The 22,150-nt window shown below is 43.4% G+C and overlaps 1 protein-coding gene across 45 annotated transcripts in view, besides 2 other annotated features; it reads right to left on the bottom strand.

The window, feature by feature from the left end:
• FHOD3 (formin homology 2 domain containing 3) overlaps positions 1–22,150 on the bottom strand; it is a 482,508-nt gene that overhangs the window by 135,632 nt on the left and 324,726 nt on the right. For all 45 annotated transcript variants that reach the window (XM_011526189.2, XM_011526190.3, XM_017026008.2 and 42 more), the window contains one exon: positions 18,840–19,078. In XM_011526189.2, coding sequence (XP_011524491.1) covers positions 18,840–19,078 — 239 coding nt within the window. The remainder of the gene's footprint in view (positions 1–18,839; positions 19,079–22,150) is intronic.
• Positions 6,056–6,225: an enhancer, noted in NCBI's record as "active region_13240". NCBI's record gives its function as "activates an Ori minimal core promoter by ATAC-STARR-seq in GM12878 lymphoblastoid cells {active_cell/tissue: GM12878}" and the evidence as "EXISTENCE:reporter gene assay evidence [ECO:0000049][PMID:35858748]".
• Positions 8,613–8,702: an enhancer, noted in NCBI's record as "active region_13239". NCBI's record gives its function as "activates an Ori minimal core promoter by ATAC-STARR-seq in GM12878 lymphoblastoid cells {active_cell/tissue: GM12878}" and the evidence as "EXISTENCE:reporter gene assay evidence [ECO:0000049][PMID:35858748]".

Raw genomic sequence — 22,150 nt, 5'->3', positions numbered from 1 at the left:
TGTATGTGTTGTAGCTTTGCTATCATAAGTGGCAGGGCAGAACCAAGGGCAGACAGCACAATGACCCACTTGGAGGGCCTACGTCCAGGATGCCCTATGACCAGATCACTGGCCTTGCCTATAATGCAAAGGGGTGGAGAAGGAAATATCCTCTCCTAGGGCACAGGACTTTCGAGGCTTGATTTTATTTAGTTCCAGTCTATGATAAAATCAGTCAAATGAAATGATTTTTATGCTAATAATATTTAAGACTGAATAATTAATTCTGACAACTTTGCTTTTTCTCAAACTAGATTTTCTTATAAAGCGTAACTTAATTGTGTTTATATTGTGCTAAGGAATTCTGGGTGTTTGGCCTTTGGCTTTCCAATACCTCCACAGGTCTTTTGCTTGTGATTGATAAGGAGTTACTCCAGGGCCCAGGCCTGTTCCAAATCCATTAGGTATCTTCCTTTTCACCGCAAACAGTCCCAGATTTGAGGTCACCGTTTTCAAGTTGGAAAAGCAACCCAGAGGCCTGCAGCCTGACCAGTTCTTTGGGGCGTAGTTTCCAACAAAGCCAATGTAATGCCTCGGATTTGGGTCTCAGGCTAATGGGTCATGTTTCTCGGGCTTCCAAACACCAAAAGGAAAATGAATGTTGCTGAGCTCTTTCAGAAACACGATACAAACATTCAAAATAATGTTAAAGTATGTTCTAAGACCAAAGCAATCAGAATGAGAAAAAGTTGAGCAATACACTGGGAGCAGACATTTGCAATATATCTAACAGACAAACTCAAATCAAGAATATATGAAAATATATTTTAAACTTCAAAAACACAACTATAAAATGAACAAAATACATGAACACAGCCAACAAACTGGTATGAAGAGATATTTTATTCTGATTATCAATCAGGGCACTATGAATTAAGGCCACAGTGAGATACCATTTTCTATCTACTTGGTAAAATTAGAAGTCTAATGATACCAAGTGATGAAAAGAATGCAAGTCAACTAATTCATATATTGTTGATACGAGGATATATAGGTTTAACTGGCAAAATAATTAACACTATCTTGTAAAATTAAACATTAATATCATGACCTAAAAGTTGTATTGCTATACCCTAGGGCAGCGATTCTGCACCAGGGTTATTCTGCCCCCAACCCCAGGGGACATTTGTCAGCATCTGGAGACATTTTTAGTTGTCACAACAGGGGTGGAGGGCAGGGAATGCTATTGGCATCTAGTGGGCTGACACAAGCATGCTGTAAAACATCCCACAATGCACAGAATAGCCCCCACGACAAAGAATTATTCAGTTCAAAACGTCAACAGTGCTGAGGTTGAGAAACCTTCCCTAGGGATACTGAAGCACCAGTGTACTAGGATGAGAGTCCAATAATGTTCTCAGCAGCACTATCTGTAATTGTCAAAAGCTGGAAATGACCCAAATGCCCTCTGAAGGGAAAAAATAGATAAAGATTGTGGTAAATTCCAGGCAGTGAAAATCCATATTGCCAGCTTCACGTGACAATATGGACGACCACCAGAAACATAACGCTGAGTGACCAAAACAAGTCCAAGAAGAACATACATTTTACAACAAAGTGCAGAAAATCAGAATTATATAAACTAATGTGTCATATGTGTGTAATACTTTAAAAAATACGTCCATTGAAGTACAGAAAAAAAAGTAAAAAAAAAATACTGAAAAAAACCCCCACAATAAAACCCCGTAAGACAGTGATAAACACATATTTAAGTATTGGTTACCCAGGCCTAGGGATGGGAGATTGGGAAGCACAGAGATGGAAGTTAGAAGTAACACCTTGCTTTTTAGGTTAGGTCATAGTCTCCTTGATGTTCTATTATATTCGTAAATATTTTATAAAATAAACTAGAAGATAATCATGCAAAGACCAGTGATGACAATGTGTCATGAACAAAGGATTATAATTAACCCAACTCTGTACAATTAGGATTTTTTTAATTTTTTTTTTTTTTTTTTTTTTTTTTTGAGACGGAGTCTCGCTCTTTTGCCCAGGCTGGAGTGCAGCGGCGCTCTCTCGGCTCACCGTAAGCTCCGCCTCCTAGCTGGAACTACAGGCACCCGCCACCACGCCCGGCTAATTTTTTGTATTTTTAGTAGAGACGGGGTTTCACCGTGTTAGCCAGGATGGTCTCGATCTCCTGACCTCGTGATCCACCTGCCTCAGCCTCCCAAAGTGCTGGGATTACAGGCATGAACCACTGCGCCTGGCCTACAATTAGGATTTTTAAAATATGTAACGAAACAATTTTTTTAAACTTTTATTTTAGGTTCAGGGACACATATACATGTCTGTTATATAGGTAAACAACATCACAAGGGTTTGTTGTACATATTTCTTCACCCAGGTACTAAGCCTAATATCTAATAGTTATTTTTTTCTCTTCCTCTCGTTCCTCCCATCCTTTGCCCTCAGGTAGGTCCTAGTATCTGTTGTTCCCCTCTATGTGTCCATGTGTTCTCATCATTTAGCTCCCACGTATAAGTGAGAAGAGGCAGTATTTGGTTTTCTGTTCCTGCATTCGTTTACTAAAAAAGCAGTGTAATTATGGGGCAAGGGCTTTATCTCCCTCTATTTAACAATTTTTTTTTTTTTTTGAGACCGAGTTTCGCTCTGTTGCTCAGTCTGGAGTGCAGTGGCGCAATCTTGGCTCACTGCAACCTCCAACCCCCGGGTTCAAGCGATTCTCCTGCCTCAGCCTCAGTAGCTGGGATAACAGGCATGCACCACCACACCCAGCTAATTTTTATAATTTTAGTAGAGATAGGGTTTCACCATGTTGGCCAGGCTGGTCTCGAACTCCTGACTTCAAGTGATCCACCCATCTCGGCCTCCCAAAGTGCTGGCATTATAGACATGAGCCACCGTGCCCTGCTTAACAAATTTTATTGAGCACTTATGTGCAAAGATGCTGGGGTGCAGTGGCTAAACAAAGTCCCCATCCTTGGATTACAGACCAGTGAGGGAAGAGACACTAAACAACTCACTGTAGCAGGAAGTATTCAACCCATGGGGCCCAAGCTACCCAAAAAGACTCTGCCATGCTGTTGAAGCAAAACTTGGCTGTTTAAAGCCAAAGAGGACCTGAGTAAGGGACAAGATGGAATTTTGTACATGACATTCCCTTGTGCAACATGTCTACTGACCTAGGATCAAGTCTAGTTTGCCTAGCTGACCTCTAATCTCTTATCACCTCTCCAACTTCGTCTTCCACTTTCCCTTCGTGAACCTCCTCACCCTAGCCTTACACAGTCTACTGATATATCAAGCTTCCACCCAACATCAAGGGCATTTCATTCTTGGAGTCCTTGCAAGAGCCATTTTTCCTGACTAGAGTTACTTTTCCTGCTCTGTTTCTCCAGGAGACCCTGCCCAGAGCCCTGGCTCCAAGGGACATCCAATAAGTATTTGCTGCCTGCTGCAGTTCCATGGCCCTGAGGACCTAGCACAGCGTTCGGCACAGAGGCTCTTGCTATGCATGATCCAAGGGCAAGATTGACAATTACTTGGAGATGACCTCAGAGATCTCCCCATGTTGCAGAGAAGAAGGATGGGGTCTGGAGAGGGCAAGACCAAACAGGTTGCCAGTAAGAACTCTGATCTCCTAACATCCAGGCCAGACTCCTTTATAACATGCCAGGCTACCCCATGAAACTTAAAGCAGAATCTAAACTGTTTTCATCACTGCACGGTTCCTTCGAAGCACGGTTCCTGAACCGTGCTTGGCAATCCTTCTTTCACACAGCACAGAGAAAAATAATGCCTCGTATTGGACAAGGCTGCGTACAGCTCCCAGAAGACCAGCCCAGAGCCCAGTCACCCCAGACTTGCCTGCTGTCCTGAAAGCCTGGAGGAGCAGTGCCTTATGACCCATTTGTGGCAACTAGTCAAAAAGCCGTCTTAAGGTTTAGATAAAATGCAGACATTTAAACTGTCCCATTTAGTTCCATAAAATGCATAGGACATATAAGATATTCATAGAAATATTTTGTTACATTTATGGTAAAGAACATGGCCCTCCAGTCTTGGTCTGCAGCCTTCTGTGTTACTGAATCCTTAAATTGCAGTTTGATCTTGGCCTCACAGTGACTCACACTTTCTGTTAACTTTAAGGCTGTTTCTAGGTCACCAAGGGCCCAAGGTAACATTTGAAAACTTCCAATTAGCAATCGTAATCAGTTAAGACAAATATCTGGCCAACTTGAATCAGTGATTTCACTTAAAAGTAGAGTTTTGTTAGCCATCAAGTTTTTTAAAGTTTCTGCAAAAGATTTTACCAGCCAAGAGAATGAAAAGACATCTAACAGAGCCCAGCTGTTGCTCTGATGTTTCCATGGTGAGAACCCAAAGTTAGACAGGAAAGTATTTATTGTCCCTGTAGCATGCAAAGTTTAGGAGGAGTATAAAGTATAGCTCATGGATCCCTAATATACCCAAGAAGCTGGACTATGGGCTAGTACCTTAATACATAAGCCATTATTTTGCTATTTTGTTTTAGAATCAAATAAATATTAAAGGGTCAAGCATATTATTTCTGCTGAAACATGGAGTAATTTAACATAATGGAATTCAAGTCTGCAGAGTACAAACATCAACAGAAAAAAAGCACAATTAGTAACTGGGGTTACAGATTTATTCAGGTGTAAAACAAATGGATCTAGTGATAACTACAGACTATGAGGCTTCTCACCAGTTTTTGTGTATACCTTGACTTTGTGTTTAAAAAAAAAAAAAACACTTTATTCTAAGCCACAGATATTCGTTGCTGGCACGATCTCGGCTCACTGCAAGCTCCGCCTCCCAGGTTCACACCATTCTCCTGCCTCAGCCTCCCGAGTAGCTGGGACTACAGGCGCCCACCACCACGCCCAGCTTTTTTTTTTTTTTGAGATGGAGTCTCGCTCTGTCGCCCAGGCTGGAGTGCAGTGGCACGATCTCCGCTCACTGCAAGCTCTGCCTCCCGGGTTCACGCCATTCTCCTGCCTCAGCCTCCCGAGTAGGTGGGACTACAGGCACCCGCCACCACGCCCGGCTAATTTTTTTTGTATTTTTTAGTAGAGACGGGGTTTCACCATGGTCTTGATCTCCTGACCTCGTGATCCGCCCGCCTTGGCCTCCCAAATTGCTGGGATTACAGAGGTGAGCCACCACACCCTGCCTTTTTTGTATTTTTAGCAGAGACGGGGTTTCACCTGTTAGCCAGGATGGTCTCGATCTCCTGACCTCATGATCCACCCACCTCGGCCTCCCAAAGTGCTGGGATTACAGGCGTGAGCCACCACGCCGGCCAATATTCGTTGCTTTAAATGTCCCTCAGAAGTTGACAGAGCAGAAGTTGACAGAGAAATTAGGATGAAGATAGGCTGCATTTTCCTAAGAACTGTGGAAACAGCAGGAACTAAGCATAGTCCCCTCATGAGATTTCAGGAAGGCAGCCTTCAGAGGCAAAAAACAGCCCTGCTCAGGGTCTTTCTTCAATCTGTCCCAAGACCTTGGTGGATCCAGGTCTTATTTCACCCTTAAAATGAAGGAAAATACACTGGAATGGAAGACTCCAGTTCTGGCTGTTATAACTAAAAAATCCAGTTGTGTGGACATGAGACATGTTTTGTCACTTCCAGAAGTTGTACAATGACTAATCTCATGTGTGTTTTTCACTTATGGGAAGAGACCACCCTCCTAAACCAGGACAAGCTCAAGGCTGTTGAGGGTGGTCTTGGGAGGTCCAGCAATGGGGGTGACTGACACTGTCTCTAATGCATGCCTCAACGCTTCCTGCCTCTCCACACCACTGGCAACCTCCAGCCTAGAGATTCGCATCCTTAAGGCATATTATTTTAAAAGGTGAATGCTCAGGCCCTCCTTTCAGAAACTGCATTCAATTGTTCTGGGGTAGAACCTGAACATGGGTTATTTTAGATGCTTGGCAGGGTTGAGACTACCCTGGTCTAAGTTATCAATGTTTCCCAGTAGCTTGGCATCAATAGCCACGACCTATGTCCCTGCTGCCACTCTCCCTTGCCTCCAATCCGATCCCCACCAAGCAGGCAGGCAGATAGGCAGCTTTTCAAATGTGCACAACTGAGCCTCACATGCTGACTAATAACCGGACTCTGTGCTGTGGTTTCCCAGGCCCTGCAGGACCTGGTCTGCTCACTGTGCAACCTCATCTCCACCCTATGCCACCTGTTTCTGGCCACACGCTACAGCCTCACCTCCCAAGATGCCTATTAGATACCCAGATATACCAAGCCCCTTTCTCCCTTTGCCATTGCACATGGCATGCCCTTGGCCTGGGGAGCTCTTCTCTTACTCTTCTCATCCTTTGGGACTCAACCTAAATGCCTGAGGAGGTTTTCTGGACCAGCCCCATCACACTTTTCTCTTTTCTAAAGAGTTTTTGCTATTTTTAATGAATATTTACTTACAGGAATTCATACTCCCTTTGAGAAAGGAAGTATGCTTATACTACTACTGATAACAGTTAAGTCTCCTTTGACCAGAAATAACCACTGTTATACATTTGGTGAATAAACATCTAGATTTTAAAAAAAACATATTATTCTACAATCTTTTTACATAGCAAATGATTTGACAACTACGTTAGCACTTCTGGTATTGGTATTGTGCATTTCTTCTACCTGCTGGTGGCATCCACAACATAAATCATCCAAAAGTAGACGTTTTACTGATCTAGCTAGTCCCCAATTGTTTGCCATGCTGTACCACAGGGATGCAGTAAGGCCTCTCCCTGTCCACATCCTTGTGCACTTCTGGAGGGTCTCCTCAAGGATATATTCTCATATCCCTGTAACCCTCTATCTACCACATGGCCCTGCTGGCTCGCTTCAAAAGCCCTCTTCTAAAGCTACTCATATTTACTTGCTATAATATTTGCACTCTGTCTTATGAAACTGTATGTTTTGTAAGGTTCATGTTCACCACTGTATTCTCAGATCCAAGAACATGGGAGGCACAAGGAAATAGGAGTTGGGGCCTAGTACGGTGCCTCACACCTGTAATCCCAGCACTTTGGGAGGCTGAGGCAGGCGGGTCACGTGAGGTCAAGAGTTCAAGACCAGCCTGGCCAACTTGGTAAAATCCCATCTCTACTAAAAATACAAAAATTAGCTGGATGTGCTCACATGAACTCAGGAGGCGGAGGTTGCAGTGAGCTGAGATTGTGTCACTGCACTCCAGCCTGGGTGACAGAGCAAGACTCTGTCTCAGAAAAACCCCAAAACAAACAAAAACAAAAATGAAATAGGAGTTAGATGAACAAATGAATATGATTTTGTTCCTTTAGTCCCAGAAGACAGTATTCCTGTCTCAACAAAATCAGTAACTGTAATATCAAAGGTCATAAGATGTCACTATTGACTAAGAAGTCTTTTAATGTAAGGCTACTCTGAAATAACACACCTAGTATTGGGGGCTTCTCTTCTAGAGATCTGGTGGCTTGCTCATTTACTTATAGACATGAGCTATCATGGATGTGGACCCAAGTCCATAAATGCAAACAAAAACAAAGGTAGAGTCCAAGGTACTTCATAGTTGTTTTTTCCTGATCTCATGATCAAAATTATTTGACCCTCCATTTGGAAGGCAGTTTTGCAAAGCTTGTTATGAATGAAAAAATATATAGAAAAGAAAAAATAGCTTCTGAAGTCTGGTAATTCAGTATGTGTTTCATACCAGAAGGCCTGCCCACATGCATGCAGTCGTGACATGCCCACCCCCACCATCCCTGCTCTATCCAAGGACCCCTGGGAGACAAATACCTGCACCCCACAGGCCCTGACCAGCCACCTCCTTATGAGGGCTCATCTCTAGTCAGTTTTTAATCTCATGTTTATAAAACCAGAACCACATGGCTGGAAAAAAAAAAAAAAACCTCAGGAATGAAATTATTTATCTGGGGCCATGTGGATATGGTAATTGAGTACTCCTGAAGTGTGATATAATAGTCTCTGGATTCCTCACTGAGCTATCATGTCTTTGGGAAGTATGCTCTCTCGGGACGATCAAAGGCATTTAGGCTACACAGAATCATCCCAAATGTGCCCAGGCTTTCTTTGGCCTCTTCAATGTACATCTTCAGAGTTTCACTTCCCTATTTGTTCAACCTTCATCAATGAAGAGTTACCACCAGGCTGCCTCCACAGGCTCTTATCAAGAAAAAATAATCTCATTTCTCTTTCCATGGCTGCATTTGATCAACCCAGCTTAGTACTCCTTAGATAGCCCCTGCTCCATCTCCAAAGGGATCCTGGGAGTTGCAGAGGGCTATAGAGAGAAATGCTTATTCTCTAGCTGGATGACCCACACCCATGCCTGCGTGGACTGCCAGCAAAAATCGAGCCTTAGAAAGTGCTGTGAACATTCAGAACACAGAGGAGAAGGTGCATCTTACAGGAGATGTGGGGTTTGGACAGGTCAAAGGGAAACTTGGCCCTGAAAGAAAATTCCCAAAGCAAGTAAAAGATTCAACTAGGAACTTGAACCTTTCCATCTGAGGTATGTTCGCTTCCATTCCCATAGTAAACAGCTTGTTTCTTCCAGAGCCCTCATACCACCTAAGTCCACTCTAGCCTGAGAAACAGTCACACTTGATGATAACTGATGTCAAGGTTCATTGACTTGAAATGTGGGTGATGTTCTCAGTTTCTTCATTTCATGAGATGAAAGTTCTGTACATTCTCTTGCTGGTTTTCCCCAGCCAGTTCTCTGCCCATGCAGTTTATTTTTCCTGGGTTAGGGCCTCTAAACTAGAGCTTCAACCATCACCTACAGGTATTGGAGTTCCAGAAGTGCCTATCCAACTGACTATGGGAATTTCCATCTGCCTGACCCATAGATACATCCAGGAGCTTACTGACTGGCCCCAGGTTACTGATTGCCAGAGAATCACCTCAGGCCCCTTTGTCTTTGTCACCATGCAATCCAGTCATTGTCCTACAAACCACAGCCTCCTGCATTCTCAGCACCTCCCTGTACTTTCCCTTCTCTCTTCCCCTGCTTCAGTCAGGCCCCCTCCACTCCTTCCTGGACCAGCGAAAGCCCTGCACCAATCTCTTTGTGCAGCCTGCTCTCCCCCAGTGAGTTCCCCATGCTGTGCCCAGAATGCTCCTGCAGAAACACTACACTGATTTTCACTTAATCATTTGAAATTCATCAGTAGCTCCACTTGGCCTTAAGGATAAAATTTTGCCAATTTCTTCAGAACCTAGAAAGATCCTCAGATTCAATTCAGGGAAGTTCAAACCCACAACAAATTTGCAATCTGGTCACAACGAATATTTGAGAAGCCAATCCCGCCCCAGATACCAGGAGCATTGCAAAGTAACTTCTTCCTCATGTCCCAGTGCCTCTGCCTTTATTCAATACAGTTCCTCCCATTTCCAAGCCCACTCTCCCAGCCTTCCCAGACCTCTTCTCTCCAGGCCACCCTTTGCTATTCAACACTCAGCATGAATCTCTTGGACACTGCTGAATCACTGGCTGTATTCCAATCATACTTTTGTCAGGAGGTCACCACACTTGTCAGTGAATCCCATTTATAACAAGTCACTTACCATCAGATAAATCTTCCCAAGTAGCTACTTGCCACTCATAGTACCAATGGTTGTTAATCTGGTTGTTGTGAAATCCTCTAGCATGTTTATGCGGGTGCACAAAATATTTTCTCCAATTCACGTCCATATTCATTTAACAATTACCTTAACAGAGTAATATCCGTGAATGCTTCAGGGCATGGATTGATGATAATAACAGCACTGGGCAAAGCACATATTTGTGTTAACTCTCCCACCACCGTATTAAGGAGTACAGGTACCATCATCCTGAGTTTACACACAACCACGCCTATGCCCTCCCCCACCTCACCTGCTGCTCCTTCACTGCACACGGCCAGCCTTCCTCCAGGAGCCAGGGCTGAGCAGGTCACCTGAGTTGCAGATTTTGTAGATTAACGTCATATAACACCCCATCTCACAGTATGTCTTTTGCTTGCAAATAGATTGCTCATTGCCAACTGCTTCCAAGAAAGAGATAGGGCTGCTCTACTATTCTGCTATTCTACTGCAGACTCAGGATGAATTCTCTAATCCTGGCAATGAAGTTTTGTGGACAAGGCATGGGAAGCTGTGCTGTCCTAAAACTTAGGCATGTAAACACACCTCCTTCCTGTCAAAACATGGGAAGATGAGCTCACCCCCCAGCACAGTTCCATAAGTAGGCTCCCCGATTTGCCCACTGCTTCCTGTGGCTGGTGGAAAGATGCCAAAACTCTTCTTCACTCCTGCAGGAAAATAGAAAACAACACCCCTCCAATTGCCTCCCTCCAGCTCCCACTCCAAAGGCACAGCCCCAAGGCTTGGCTACCCGCATCCTACCACCTGCTGGGCCACTAATTGGTATGCATCAGTTATGAGCCATCAAAAACTGAGGATGGCTTAGGTCTCTGCTCCTCCACAGCCTCACGATAATTGATAGTTAACTGTGGCTTCCTTTTAACTATGAGTTTCTGTTCTCTATACCTTCCCTTACTCCATCGCCAAGGTAGTGGTTACTTATGACTAACTGGAAAGCCTTGTTCCAGTGTTGCAGCTATTGCTCTGAACATTTTCAGAAGTCCCCTCTATAAAATGTCTTCAGTGCCCATTTATGAGAAAAACAAGCAAATCAGTAAGTATGATTTCAGGATCAAAATCAAACAGTGACTAAAAAACAATACAGCTCACTAAGATTACCAAGTTCCAGTAAAACATTTGCTCTGAGTGATTTTTTGCTTTCTCAACAAATCTAATTCATCCTCAAAAGATATAACATTCTCATTACTGAACACATTCTATAGATTCAGAGAGTACTTTCAGGTATGTTAGGTTCTGAGTGCAGGCTATGGACTCTGACTGCCTGGGTCCCAACCCAGCAGAGCCTCTGTAATCTGGGGACAAGCTCCTTAACCTCTCTGTGTTTCGGTTTCCTCACCTGTAAAATGGGGACGATACTCCTACCTTCTTCATGGAATTTACAATACATGTAAAATTGTTTAGTCCAATAGCCAGTACAAAGTTAATCCTCCATAAATGCTGGTGTTAGAATAGGTAGTTAGGCAGATATGACTAGGGAAGGAGAGTATCCCCCAACTCCAGGAATGTCAGGTGACCATCAAGTGATGGCCTGGCAGTTGTTAAACTGTCTTTTTAAAATAATAATTGGTCATAGCTGGTGCCAGTGAAAGGCGGTCTCCTAAGAGAGAAAAAACACATAAAGCTAGTGATCAGCAGCTTCCCAATAAGATCTGAGAAGTTGGGTGATTGGGCTCAAGCACACGCACTAAGAGGCAAAATGGCAGAGTTTAACTGGTATATGACCTTCCTCTAGGAACACTGGAAGATAAGGGGAAACTGCCTCAAGTGAGCATGCACACAACTTCAGTAAACACAGTGCACACGCAGCCCCTCCCAAGTGCCAGCAGGGCACTGCGCATGCGGACAGCCCACCTAAGGGAAGAATCAGGGTAGAAAAGACACAAACCCTGGAACCACATCAATGTATAAAACCCCAAGTCAAAGGCCAAAGAGTGCATCTGGATCTCTTAAGGCATCTGCTTGGCCCTCTTCCAAGTGTATTTTACTTTCCTTCTTTCCTGCTCTAAAATTTTTTAATAAACTCTCACTCCTGCTCAAAAACTTGTCTTGGTCTGTCTTTTGCCCCTCAGACAAATTCTTTCCTTCAAGGAGGCAAGAATTGAGTTGATGCAGACCCGTATAGATTCGCCACTGCTAACACTGGCTCCATCCCTACCTCTTCCATTGCTTACCTCCTAGACATGGAAGGAAGAAGAGCATAGCATTTTCCCAGGACAACGCAGAGGCTGCAGTTAAAAAGAGGACACACATTGCTGAGCAAGCATGATGCCTAAAAGCCACACGGGACGGGACTCACGAATTGGACACCATAACAAATATATTTAGTGCATGTGATGAGAGGTGTCAGAAATTCAGTTAAAAGACATTTGAAAGACAGAAAAAATGGTCAAAATATTAATATCTAAAATGTGTAAAGAATACTTATATTCTACTTTGAATCTGAAGGTTTTCATATTAAAAATAAAGACTAGTTGTAGGTCAATTAAAATAGGCAAACCATTCAGGAGACAAATGAGCAAAGAATATTTACAGGCAACACTAAGAAAAGGAAATGTTAATAGCTAATGAAGCAATTAAAGTTGTACAGCCTCAGTAGTAATAAAAAAATGCAAATTACAATGCTGAGGCATTTTTCACTTTTCAATACTACAAAAATTATGAAAATCTCCTAACATTCAGTGATGATGTGGGAAAATGGTGAGTCATATGCTGACGGAGAGTAAAACCATACAGCCTTTGTGGAGAGCAATATGGCAATATCAATATTTAAAATGTAAATGTCCATTGTCTCAAATTCTACTTCTAAGAATCTAAGAGTGCTAATGCTCACAAACGTGTATGTGCACCAGTGTGTATGTTCATTACAGCAAGTTTGGTATGAGAAAAAAACTGGAACCAAGCCATAGCAAAATGTATGACAGCATCATGGTATTATGGTATATCTATATATTGGAACATTAGCAATAATTTTTTAATGTACCATTAAGCAATAATTTTTAATGTATTGATATGAAAAATATAGATCCAATAATAAATACAGCAGTGTCCATTTACTAATGGCTTACTAATTGCCAAGTACTCAGCATGTATTTATTTCCACAGAATAACAGAAATAAGGGTTATTTAGGAGAATGGTGAGGACATGGACTCTGGAGCTAGACCACCTAAACTGTAGAACCAGCTCCACCATATATTAGCTGTGGGACCTTGGGCAAGGTGCTTCAACTCCCTGTGCCTCAGCTTCCCCTCCTGTCACACAGCATTAATTACAGTACCTATATCGTGACATAATAGCAAAAATGGAGTTTGTACACTTGCAGTGCTTAGCATACTGCCTGGCAGATGATTAAGTGTTCCGTAAAGGCTAGCTGTTGTTGTGGCTGTTACTGTTATATTCATCTTTGCACTATATGGTACAACTCTCTTCATTTTACATCACACAGTTGGCACCACATCTTTAAATCCTATCATTTTTATTTAAAAACATAAAGAGTTGCTATTTATTCAGTGCCTACTATGAGCCAATGGCCATATATAAATTGGCACATAGCTATTTTGGGAGAGCTGGGTTCTGAACTTGCCCTCCCATGCTTCAATACCTCCACATCCTATGCCCAAGACCACAGTGATTCTAAACACCCCTCTGGTGAGGATTTGTGGAGACTGAGTGCTTCCCACTCCTTAGGAGCGGTAGTCTGTTCTCTGCCAGGTGCAGGCTGAGCTTCCAGTGCTGGTCTCTGCACCCTGCCCCACAACAAACCCCTGCCAGACTTCTCCCTGCAGCTCAAGTGGGCTCTCCACTGCCGCATCAGTACTCCTGGCCTGGAGCCCACCTAAGCATGGTCTCTTTTGCTCCTGGAACCAGCTGAGGCTAGGCCACATCTTCTCTCTGCTGCTCAAGGGTCAAGTATGTCTGTAGGTCAGACTACTGTTCTCCTGACTACAAGCTCAAGGCTTGGCTACAACTCCTGACTCCCACAAGACCCATTTATATATCCTTATCACTTTGCATTTATTAGAATGAGGACTTCTGTGAAACATACATTAGTCAATTTTTCTGTAACCCTAGTGTAACTTACATGGAAAAAAATTAGCAATTCTTATATGTAACTTTTTTCCTTCTTGACCATCAGTTGAAAGTATCGGCAGCCAAGAGGAGAGTTGCCCACTGCTGCTTCTCAATGCAGATTCCTCAGCTCCACTTGAACATTTCTGGTGAGACTGTGCCAGGTTCCTCTTCCTCTGAACAGGTTCGTGAAGCCTGGATGTAGACTGTCACACCTCTCTTATATAATCATTGTTCTCTCTTGCCAACTTGTTTTATGCTGGTGTCACATTCCATTATGTCAATTTTTTGGAGTGATGGATGTGTATGAAGCCGATTAGAATTGGATTTGTTGGCATTTCAGTTACTGAGAGTAGCATGAGATTAAGTCAAGGCTTGGTCCCCTAAAAGTGTTCAAGCATATTTCCTGAGAATTTGAAGCGTGAAACTTTGCTAAACGGACTTAAAATCAAAAAAAAGACTCTACTGTAAACCATGTAGTAGCCCAGAGTAACCAGTCAGCTGTGAAAGACAATTCATATCTCATTTAAGGAATCTGTTTCCATGACATTTGTTTGTAAAATGCCAATGGATTTTTTTAAACTAGAAATATATTCTATAGATCTGTGTTTTAGCTGATTATATTCTCTGAAAAAGAGTCAATTTTGACCCATGCACATGAATATTTAAGGTAGGTGCACAGAGTTCCAAATGCTTCTAAGAAAACTACCCTTTCCAATAGCCAAAACACTCTCTATCTCAGCATCATGTGGATTACATAACCAACGATCTGCCTTCCCCTAAGGCAGAATTTCTCAGATTCAACACTACTGACATTTTAAAACAGATAATTATTTGTTTGGCAGGGGGCTATCCTGCACTAAGTAGAACAGCATTCCTGGACTCCACCCACTAGATGCCAGCAGCACCACCCCGTCCCAGTTATAACAACCAAAAATGTGTCCAGATGTCTCCTAGGTGGCAAAATCACCCCGGTCAAGAACCACTGCCCGAAGGGACCACTGGGACCAATCCCGGCCTGCACAGTCCAATCTTCCCTGGACTCATCACATAGTCCCCTCCCTCTCCATGTGTCCCTCAATCTGGCTTATCTCTTGCCCTTCTCCGACCCCTCAATCTTCCTCTGTGCCCTGGGAACTCATGATCAGCCATCAGCAAAGTCCCCTATAGTCTCTATCTCTTCATGGAATATTCCTTTGACTTCCTTGCTCTAACACCAAATCTAAGAATACTGTTCCCCATAGCCCTCACACATAACACAGTGGATTCTTCTCTCATATGCCACATACTCTCCTTTGCCAATTTCCCCCAACCTCCCTCAAGAAACCCAGACCCTTGGGACAGGGGTTGGCAAACTACAGCCTGTGGGCTACATCTGGCCTACCACCTGTTTTTATACGGCCTGTGAGCTAAGAGTGGTTTTCACATTTTTAATGGTTGAAAAAAAATCAAAAGAATAATATTTCATGACATGTAAAATTCAAATCTCAGTGTCTATAAATAAAATGTCACTGGAATGCAGCCATGCTCATGCCAGTACCAGTGGCTGATGGCTGTTGACGTGCTACAAAGGCAGAATTCAGTTGAGTAGTTGCAATAGAGACCGTCTGGTACTCCAAGTTTAACATGTTACTTGGCCCTTGACAGAGAAAGTTTGCAGACCCTGCTGCTGAGGCACGTGGCACTAGTCTGGACCCTCCACTCCCTAACCAGTTGTCAACATCCACTATCTGCCAGGTCACTCTTCCACGTATATTAAAATATACACATGACTGAAAGCTGCATGGCACAACTGTTAACATTAGTGACTAAATGAAGTTCAAAATTACTTCTATAGTTTGGAATGTTGTGTGGAAATCAGCAGGATGAAACTGAAAGTTCACGTGTTAAGTCCCATGCAGTGTTTGGTATCAGAAGGACTGACACACAGAGCAGGAAGCAGCCCTGTTTTTGTCAACAGAGGAAGAACCAGGATAAACAGAATAGTTCAAGGGCAGATGGGGTACCTCAGGAGAAAGAGCACCCATGCCTGGAAGTGTACCCCATCTCTTGGGAACTTGACAGAAAGGGCTCCTGCTTTGGGCTAAATTTTAAGAACTTTCTAGCACTAAGATTTTTTCCCCTTCCAATGAAATTTGTAAACTTTAAGTGCAAAGATGAAACTCATTATGACACACATGGTCCCATAAAGATGCTTTTAGTTGACCAATGACCAATAAACTTGTACCTTACTGGGCAAATGCTCAGTGTAGAGTTGTATTTCCTAAGAAACCAAAGCAAACAAATCTGAGTTCAAGCTCTTATTAGTCTTTATTAGAATTAAAGCACATAGCTGGCTTAAGTCTACAGGGAGACTAAGCATTTCTCTCCAAGTCTTTGAATTTTTGTATTTACCTCAAACAAAAAAATACCTACAAGGAATGTAAATCAAATTGTCTCTCTAATCATCTCGCTTGAAGAATATGTTTAGGAGTGGTTGGCTGGGATGTGGTTGACTGGGAAGGAGTCTGTATACTTTGGATATTAAGAGCCAAGGGCCCAGCCCTTGGTCATAGCCCTTAGTCCTGTGATTTGGAATAGGCACTTAGCCCCATCTGTTTTCTCACTTGTACAATGAGGTTAATAAAACCTGTCCTGTCTGAATCTTACAGAGGATGATCGTGAGAGTTAAATTCAAATGATGCAAAAGGACCATCTGAGTGGAGACTGCCCTATATTTTTTTAGAACAATATGAACCCCTTTCTAAAACATATTTCTCCCTTCTTTACAAAAGTTGGCATCACTTGGGTGACTGAGTTATAAAATCTAGCCCCAAATCCTTCATATGTGGCATCTGAAGGCATGTTGCTATAAGCTAGCGTTAGGTGCGGCCAGGGCGTTTGCAGGGATGAAGAGCAATGTGCATATATGTACATGAGGCAGCTTCTGTGTCTTTCAAGGTCTGCAGGGGACAGAACACAATGAGCCACTTGACTCTGAGGTACTGTTTGAGGCACAGATGTTGAGCAGGTGACTAAGCTATGCAGGAAGAAATCATTTCCCAATCAGCATTTCACCACTGCATTCCCACTATCGCACTCCCACCTCATCAAAATCATGCCGTCACTTTGGGGCCACAGGCAAAATCCCTCCAACAGGCTTCGTAAATGAAGTCACTTCATAATCATCAATCTAGATAGATAAAACATCACCTATCTTTACAAGCTGCAAAGTATATTTTGCTCAAATGCTACTAAATTAATGTTGAAGTAATAATTCCAGTAAAGTGAAATTCCAAAAAGAATGAAGCAAACAGCATTCAGAGTGGCATCTCTGGCCTCCTGTTTCAGATCCTACCGAGCCCAGCACTTCAAGACTGTGAACCGTGCCCAGGATGGTCCACTTCCGTATCATCATCCTTACCAGCCTATTGCAAAGCATTGTCACCTGAACTCACAACACAGGAATCCTCGAAAAGTGTAACAGCAAGAAACAGACAAGGAACAAACATGATGAAGCAGGAGAACACCAAGTACTACTGACAAGGTCCACCTAACTCCTACCCTCAGCATCTTCGGTGGCTTTATATACAGGCCTTTTTCAGAGGATTGTGTACAATTTCCTCAATTCTCTTCATGTTAACTTCTCAAGCCAGCTGGAAGAGAGCTTCGAGGGCTTTTTCTTTGAGAATTGGCTGAGTTTCTTTAAGATTCTAGATCACAAAATGCAATGCTCATGGTAAAGGTTCTCTTTCCTTAATATGTTTAGAAGTTTAGGTCTTCTTTTCACTAAAATAGAGCTGTACACAGACTCTCAGAAACATAAAAGCCTGTAGAGAGAGGGCATCTGGGGTTATGAGGTAGAAGAGGGGTGTCAACATAGACCATGGTTGCACATCTATCTCAAACCAGTCCCTCCTCCTCCTGGGATAACAGGTATCTGAAGGCATGGCCTGGGTCCTGCTCAAATGATTCCATGGGTATCAGATTGTTTGGGGCACCTCTTGGTGCTGGTGGGGTATTCCCTTAGAGATGGAGAGGAGGGATATATCTTGATCACTCTTTCTTAAGGTCATCCAACTTATTCTGAGTGATTTTCTTCCTCATAATGTAGCCTGGTGACCTAAATTTGACTCCCAGGAGGATCTCTATGATGAGGGAGGATGATCCAGCCAAGTGATATGAGCACTTCCTGCTTCCAGACTATCAGCAGCAGGATGGGAATGTGTTAGTCAGCCCCTGTGGATTTGGGTGGCAGAGACTGGAGCCTAAAGTCCCTCATCCCAGTGACCTCAGAGCATCCATTTGGGAAGATACAACTGGACCCAGACTCTGGAGCAGGCATGGCCAGCCTTTTGTTGTACCTCTATACTATAGAACCACTCTGGGTTTGGCAGATTTTGTCAAACTTTATACTTTAAATACATATAATATCTCATAGGATTGCCAATCATTCCATTTTTTTCTATCTACCATTCTCGGTCTTCCTCCCAGCCCAAACGTGAGGCTCAAAGGGACAGAGATCATACCTTTCTATTTATGTATCTTCATGGCTTCAAGTAGTCCTGGCCTCTAACAGACACTCAATAAAAATGTTTCAGACTAAATGATGGAATTAGTGTGTACTGAAATATATAGAGACAGCTATTTGGAAACTCATATGGGTTTTTTCTGTTTAACTTAAACCAACCCAGAGATATCCCTGTATTGTCAGGAGTATCGCGAGACTCTTCCAACCCCACATTCCTACAGTGGTTATTTCTAGGCCAAAGTTTTGTGTTTTGAAGTCTTTTCCATTTGATAAAACACAGCTTTTCTGAACAGATATTAACTGAGATAGTAAATAATATTTTTTAAAAACAGGTAGCTGAAAAACAGTTCCTGGGATTAGTAAGATGAAGTCTGTAAAAGTCGCCAGGGGCCACCCTGTGTGGGAAATCCACCGAGATGTTTGGCTGGTGGTTTAATGGTCAAGAAGAGGTAGGGAGCAATGCTGGGTGGGGGACAAAGTGGCCAGCAGGGAGGGGAGAGTGGCAGGCACCTGTGGGCTCTCTTTTGGATGGCATCCTTGCACCCCTCTCCACTGCCAAGTTAATGCTTACTTTTCACGCAGATCTCGCACTTGGTTGGGCTTGAAGCTGGGAGCTGACTGGGAGCAGGGACTGGTGGGGGCCGACAGGGTGCTCTTGATGCTCTGCACCGAGTGCCTGCGGCTCCTTCTGCGGTCCAGGCCCCGGTGCTCGCCTCCGCCACTGGAACACACGCTGGCCCTCCTCCGGTCCCGGCACCCACTGGGGGGTGGCTCCGTGGTCTCATCGCCATCCTCGTGCCTGAGCGCCACCTGGAAAAGCAGAGCACGCCCAGTGCAAGGTCAGGCTTGGCATCCTTTCACAGACCTCAGGTGTGACTGCATTTCAGGATTGCCCTAATAGGGATTTTTAACTCTGTCTTCGCAAACTGCACGCCTCAGCTTCCCTGCCAGGTCTTCACAACCACATGTGTCCAAGCCAAACACAGCCTGGGCACTGGAAGATGCCTGCCACTGTAGGTTCTTCCCATCAAACAGACACGAAGCGGGCAGCCAATATGACCAGTGAGTCTGAGAAATATTTTTGTAATCGGATAGGACCTAACTAACTCTGTACCCCAGCATTTCCATTTCCCGGGCCTTCACCATCTCCTTGCCCACCCGTGTCTCTTTTCTGCTCCATGAGCCTGAATCTCTCCTGAAGCCTAGTGGTGGCCGGTTCCCTATCAGTCTTGAGCTCGCTTTCCCAAAGAGGGTGCTCAGAAGTGGCCAGAGCCACAAGATCCAGGTGAATGGGAACTGGCCTCACCCATAAATCTTTCTAAGAGGACTAGTGCCACAGCAGGTACTGTTTAATTTCAAAATCTTGGCTGACAGCTGCTGCACTATCAGGCTATCACAGCAGCCTGGTTCAGGATTTGGAGTGGAGCCTGTAGTTTTACCAGAAGCTTGCAAACACAAGTCACAAAGATACACAACACAAAAAGACAACTCCTAGAATTAAGATTTGTTTTAAAGTTTCCTAAGAGTGACGCATATTTGTGCAGAAAAATAACTGGCTTGCACTTTGCCACTCCGGCTTACATGGGGAAATGTGAGCCAACTGGTCCCATACTCTTTCTTACCCTTTGCCTTTCTCCAAGGGATATTTTTAGCCCTGTGTCTAGGTGGCGCCCTCTGCAGAAGACCAGCTTTTCCATCTCTTAATCTCACTCTGTCCTGGATCTTACTTCATGGCTTTCTCACCTCCCATTAAAACTAACTGTCCTTCTGAGTAACTCTCCTCCACCTCTCTTCTAGCACCCAGCTCTGCTCCTTATCCATGATGACTCTTCGTAGCCAGGGACTCTATCTCTGGCCTCTAATTGTTATGCCTACGCCTACATTCTCTAAAACTGGACAGCAGAAAGAATACAAGTTTTGGTGTCAACTAGACCTTGGTGTGCATGCTGGCTGTGCCACTAATGAACCAGGTGTGCCCTGTCATAAATTACTTGTACCCTCTCTGGCTCACCAAATGAAGGTAATAGAATTGCCCTTGCAGGTTTGTGATGAGAATCACTTATGTAAAGGTAACTTGTGTAAAGCATCTAGGGTAGGGCCTTCTCTGTGGTACTCAATGAATATGACTGCCTTCCCCTATCCATTCTCTCACAGGAAGTGACCTAAGATGCCCATAAATTCCTTAATCACACAGAACTTCTGACTTCGCAACCATGGAATAACACAGTTCCAAGTCCCCAAACATGCAAGTTCTCCAGCCTTGTGGGTGTTCTTAGTCACATTTCACAACCCAGTCCTTCCATGTGAGAGAATGGAGAATATAAAGACTCAGATAGCTAACCACAGTATATGGCTTTAACATCACCTATGTGCAGAAAACCTAGCTATTGCAAAATCAGCTGCCCTCATGTGAGCTCGGCTGAGGCAAGGCCAGGTTAGCCACTGTCATCTCAGTTCACAGGGACATATCAGCACCTGAGATACACAAACCGTTTACCAGGAGTGTATCCACCCTTATCTGCCCTACCCTGTTTCCACCAGCTCAAGCTTTCACAAAATCTCTTCCATCTACATGCCAGATACATCTTATAACAAACTCCCATAGGTGACGATAATTTAACAGACTTTTGACTGTTTTACTCCCCTAGAATTCACCAAACATAATTTTGGGAGGTTTGAGGCAAGAATTGATAAAAGCTCTATCTTTACAAAATCTCATTGGGAATTCTATTTCCTAGGAGTATCCTTCTGCATTGTAACTGCAAGAACTAAAAAGAAATTAAGCATTTAGTTAAGCACATATGTCATCTCAACTTTAAAACTTTAAATGACATTCTGTGGGGAAAAGTTTGAGAACAACCACATACCTAACAAAGGACAGCATTTTTAAGTGTTTCTAGCCAATGTTTTTTTCATTTCTATAAATAAAAATTCTAGACCATTTGAACTTATTCTGACCTGATGTGTTGATTCTGCTTCTTATTAAGCACACATTTGGAATGATAAGATTAGGGGCTAAAGTAGAGTTAAGATATTTCTAATTCCTTGTCTAACCTCAGAGATCCAAGGATCAAGTGACGTTCTACTCACAAGTCCTTTCAGAGAGGCACACAGTGTGCATGAAGTGAAATCCACTTTAACTGCCCTTTGTCAAGGAAGGTAGAGATAACCAGAAAGTTTGAAGGCCAAGAAAAATCTGGAAAAATTATCAAGGCAACACCATAACATGGCATGCAGTTAGGGCTTTCTGAAGTTCAGATAATTAACAAAACATCAAGCTACTTAAAACAAGAAGAGTGCATGGAGGGAGCAAATGGGCCACAGAATCTTGGTAGACCCAAGGGTAGCCTCATGCTTGGCAGTCAGGGACAACATAACAAGAAATTGGAGGCTGCTGTTCACTCATGGTTTTGTTTTTATAATAAGAATTCTAGAGTCATCAGTGTCCAGTGATGACAGGAAGAGAGGCTTTGTTTGCACATGCTAGGCTACGGTGGCATTTCCAAATGCTTTCGGCTCTAGTGAGCACTACAGCTTAGACTCAGGAACACTGGGAGCTAGAAAACACCTGGAGAGTACGGCTTTTCACCCAAGGCTTATTTAGGACATGTGGTAAGAGTCAGACCTAATCAAATACAGCGCAATGAGTATCCTCCGTGGGAGCACTAAGTGAGATAGAGCCAGTCCTGCAAGACCTCTAACACTGTCCCAAGTAATGGAGTGACTCATTTGCTAGACCTCTCATCAAATACCTTCTAACTCTTTTAATTAAATGTAGAACGCTATTTGTAAACTAAAAACTTGGGCAAGGAGCAAGTAGGGTCCAGAATCCAGCCCTGACGGCTTACACATCCCCATGTAACCAAGAAAGCAGTTAGGGGC

The sequence above is a fragment of the Homo sapiens genome, chromosome 18, assembly GCF_000001405.40.
Source record: "Homo sapiens chromosome 18, GRCh38.p14 Primary Assembly".
In the NCBI taxonomy this organism is placed as follows: Eukaryota; Metazoa; Chordata; class Mammalia; order Primates; family Hominidae; genus Homo; species Homo sapiens.
This window is presented reverse-complemented; position numbering and strand designations above follow the sequence as displayed.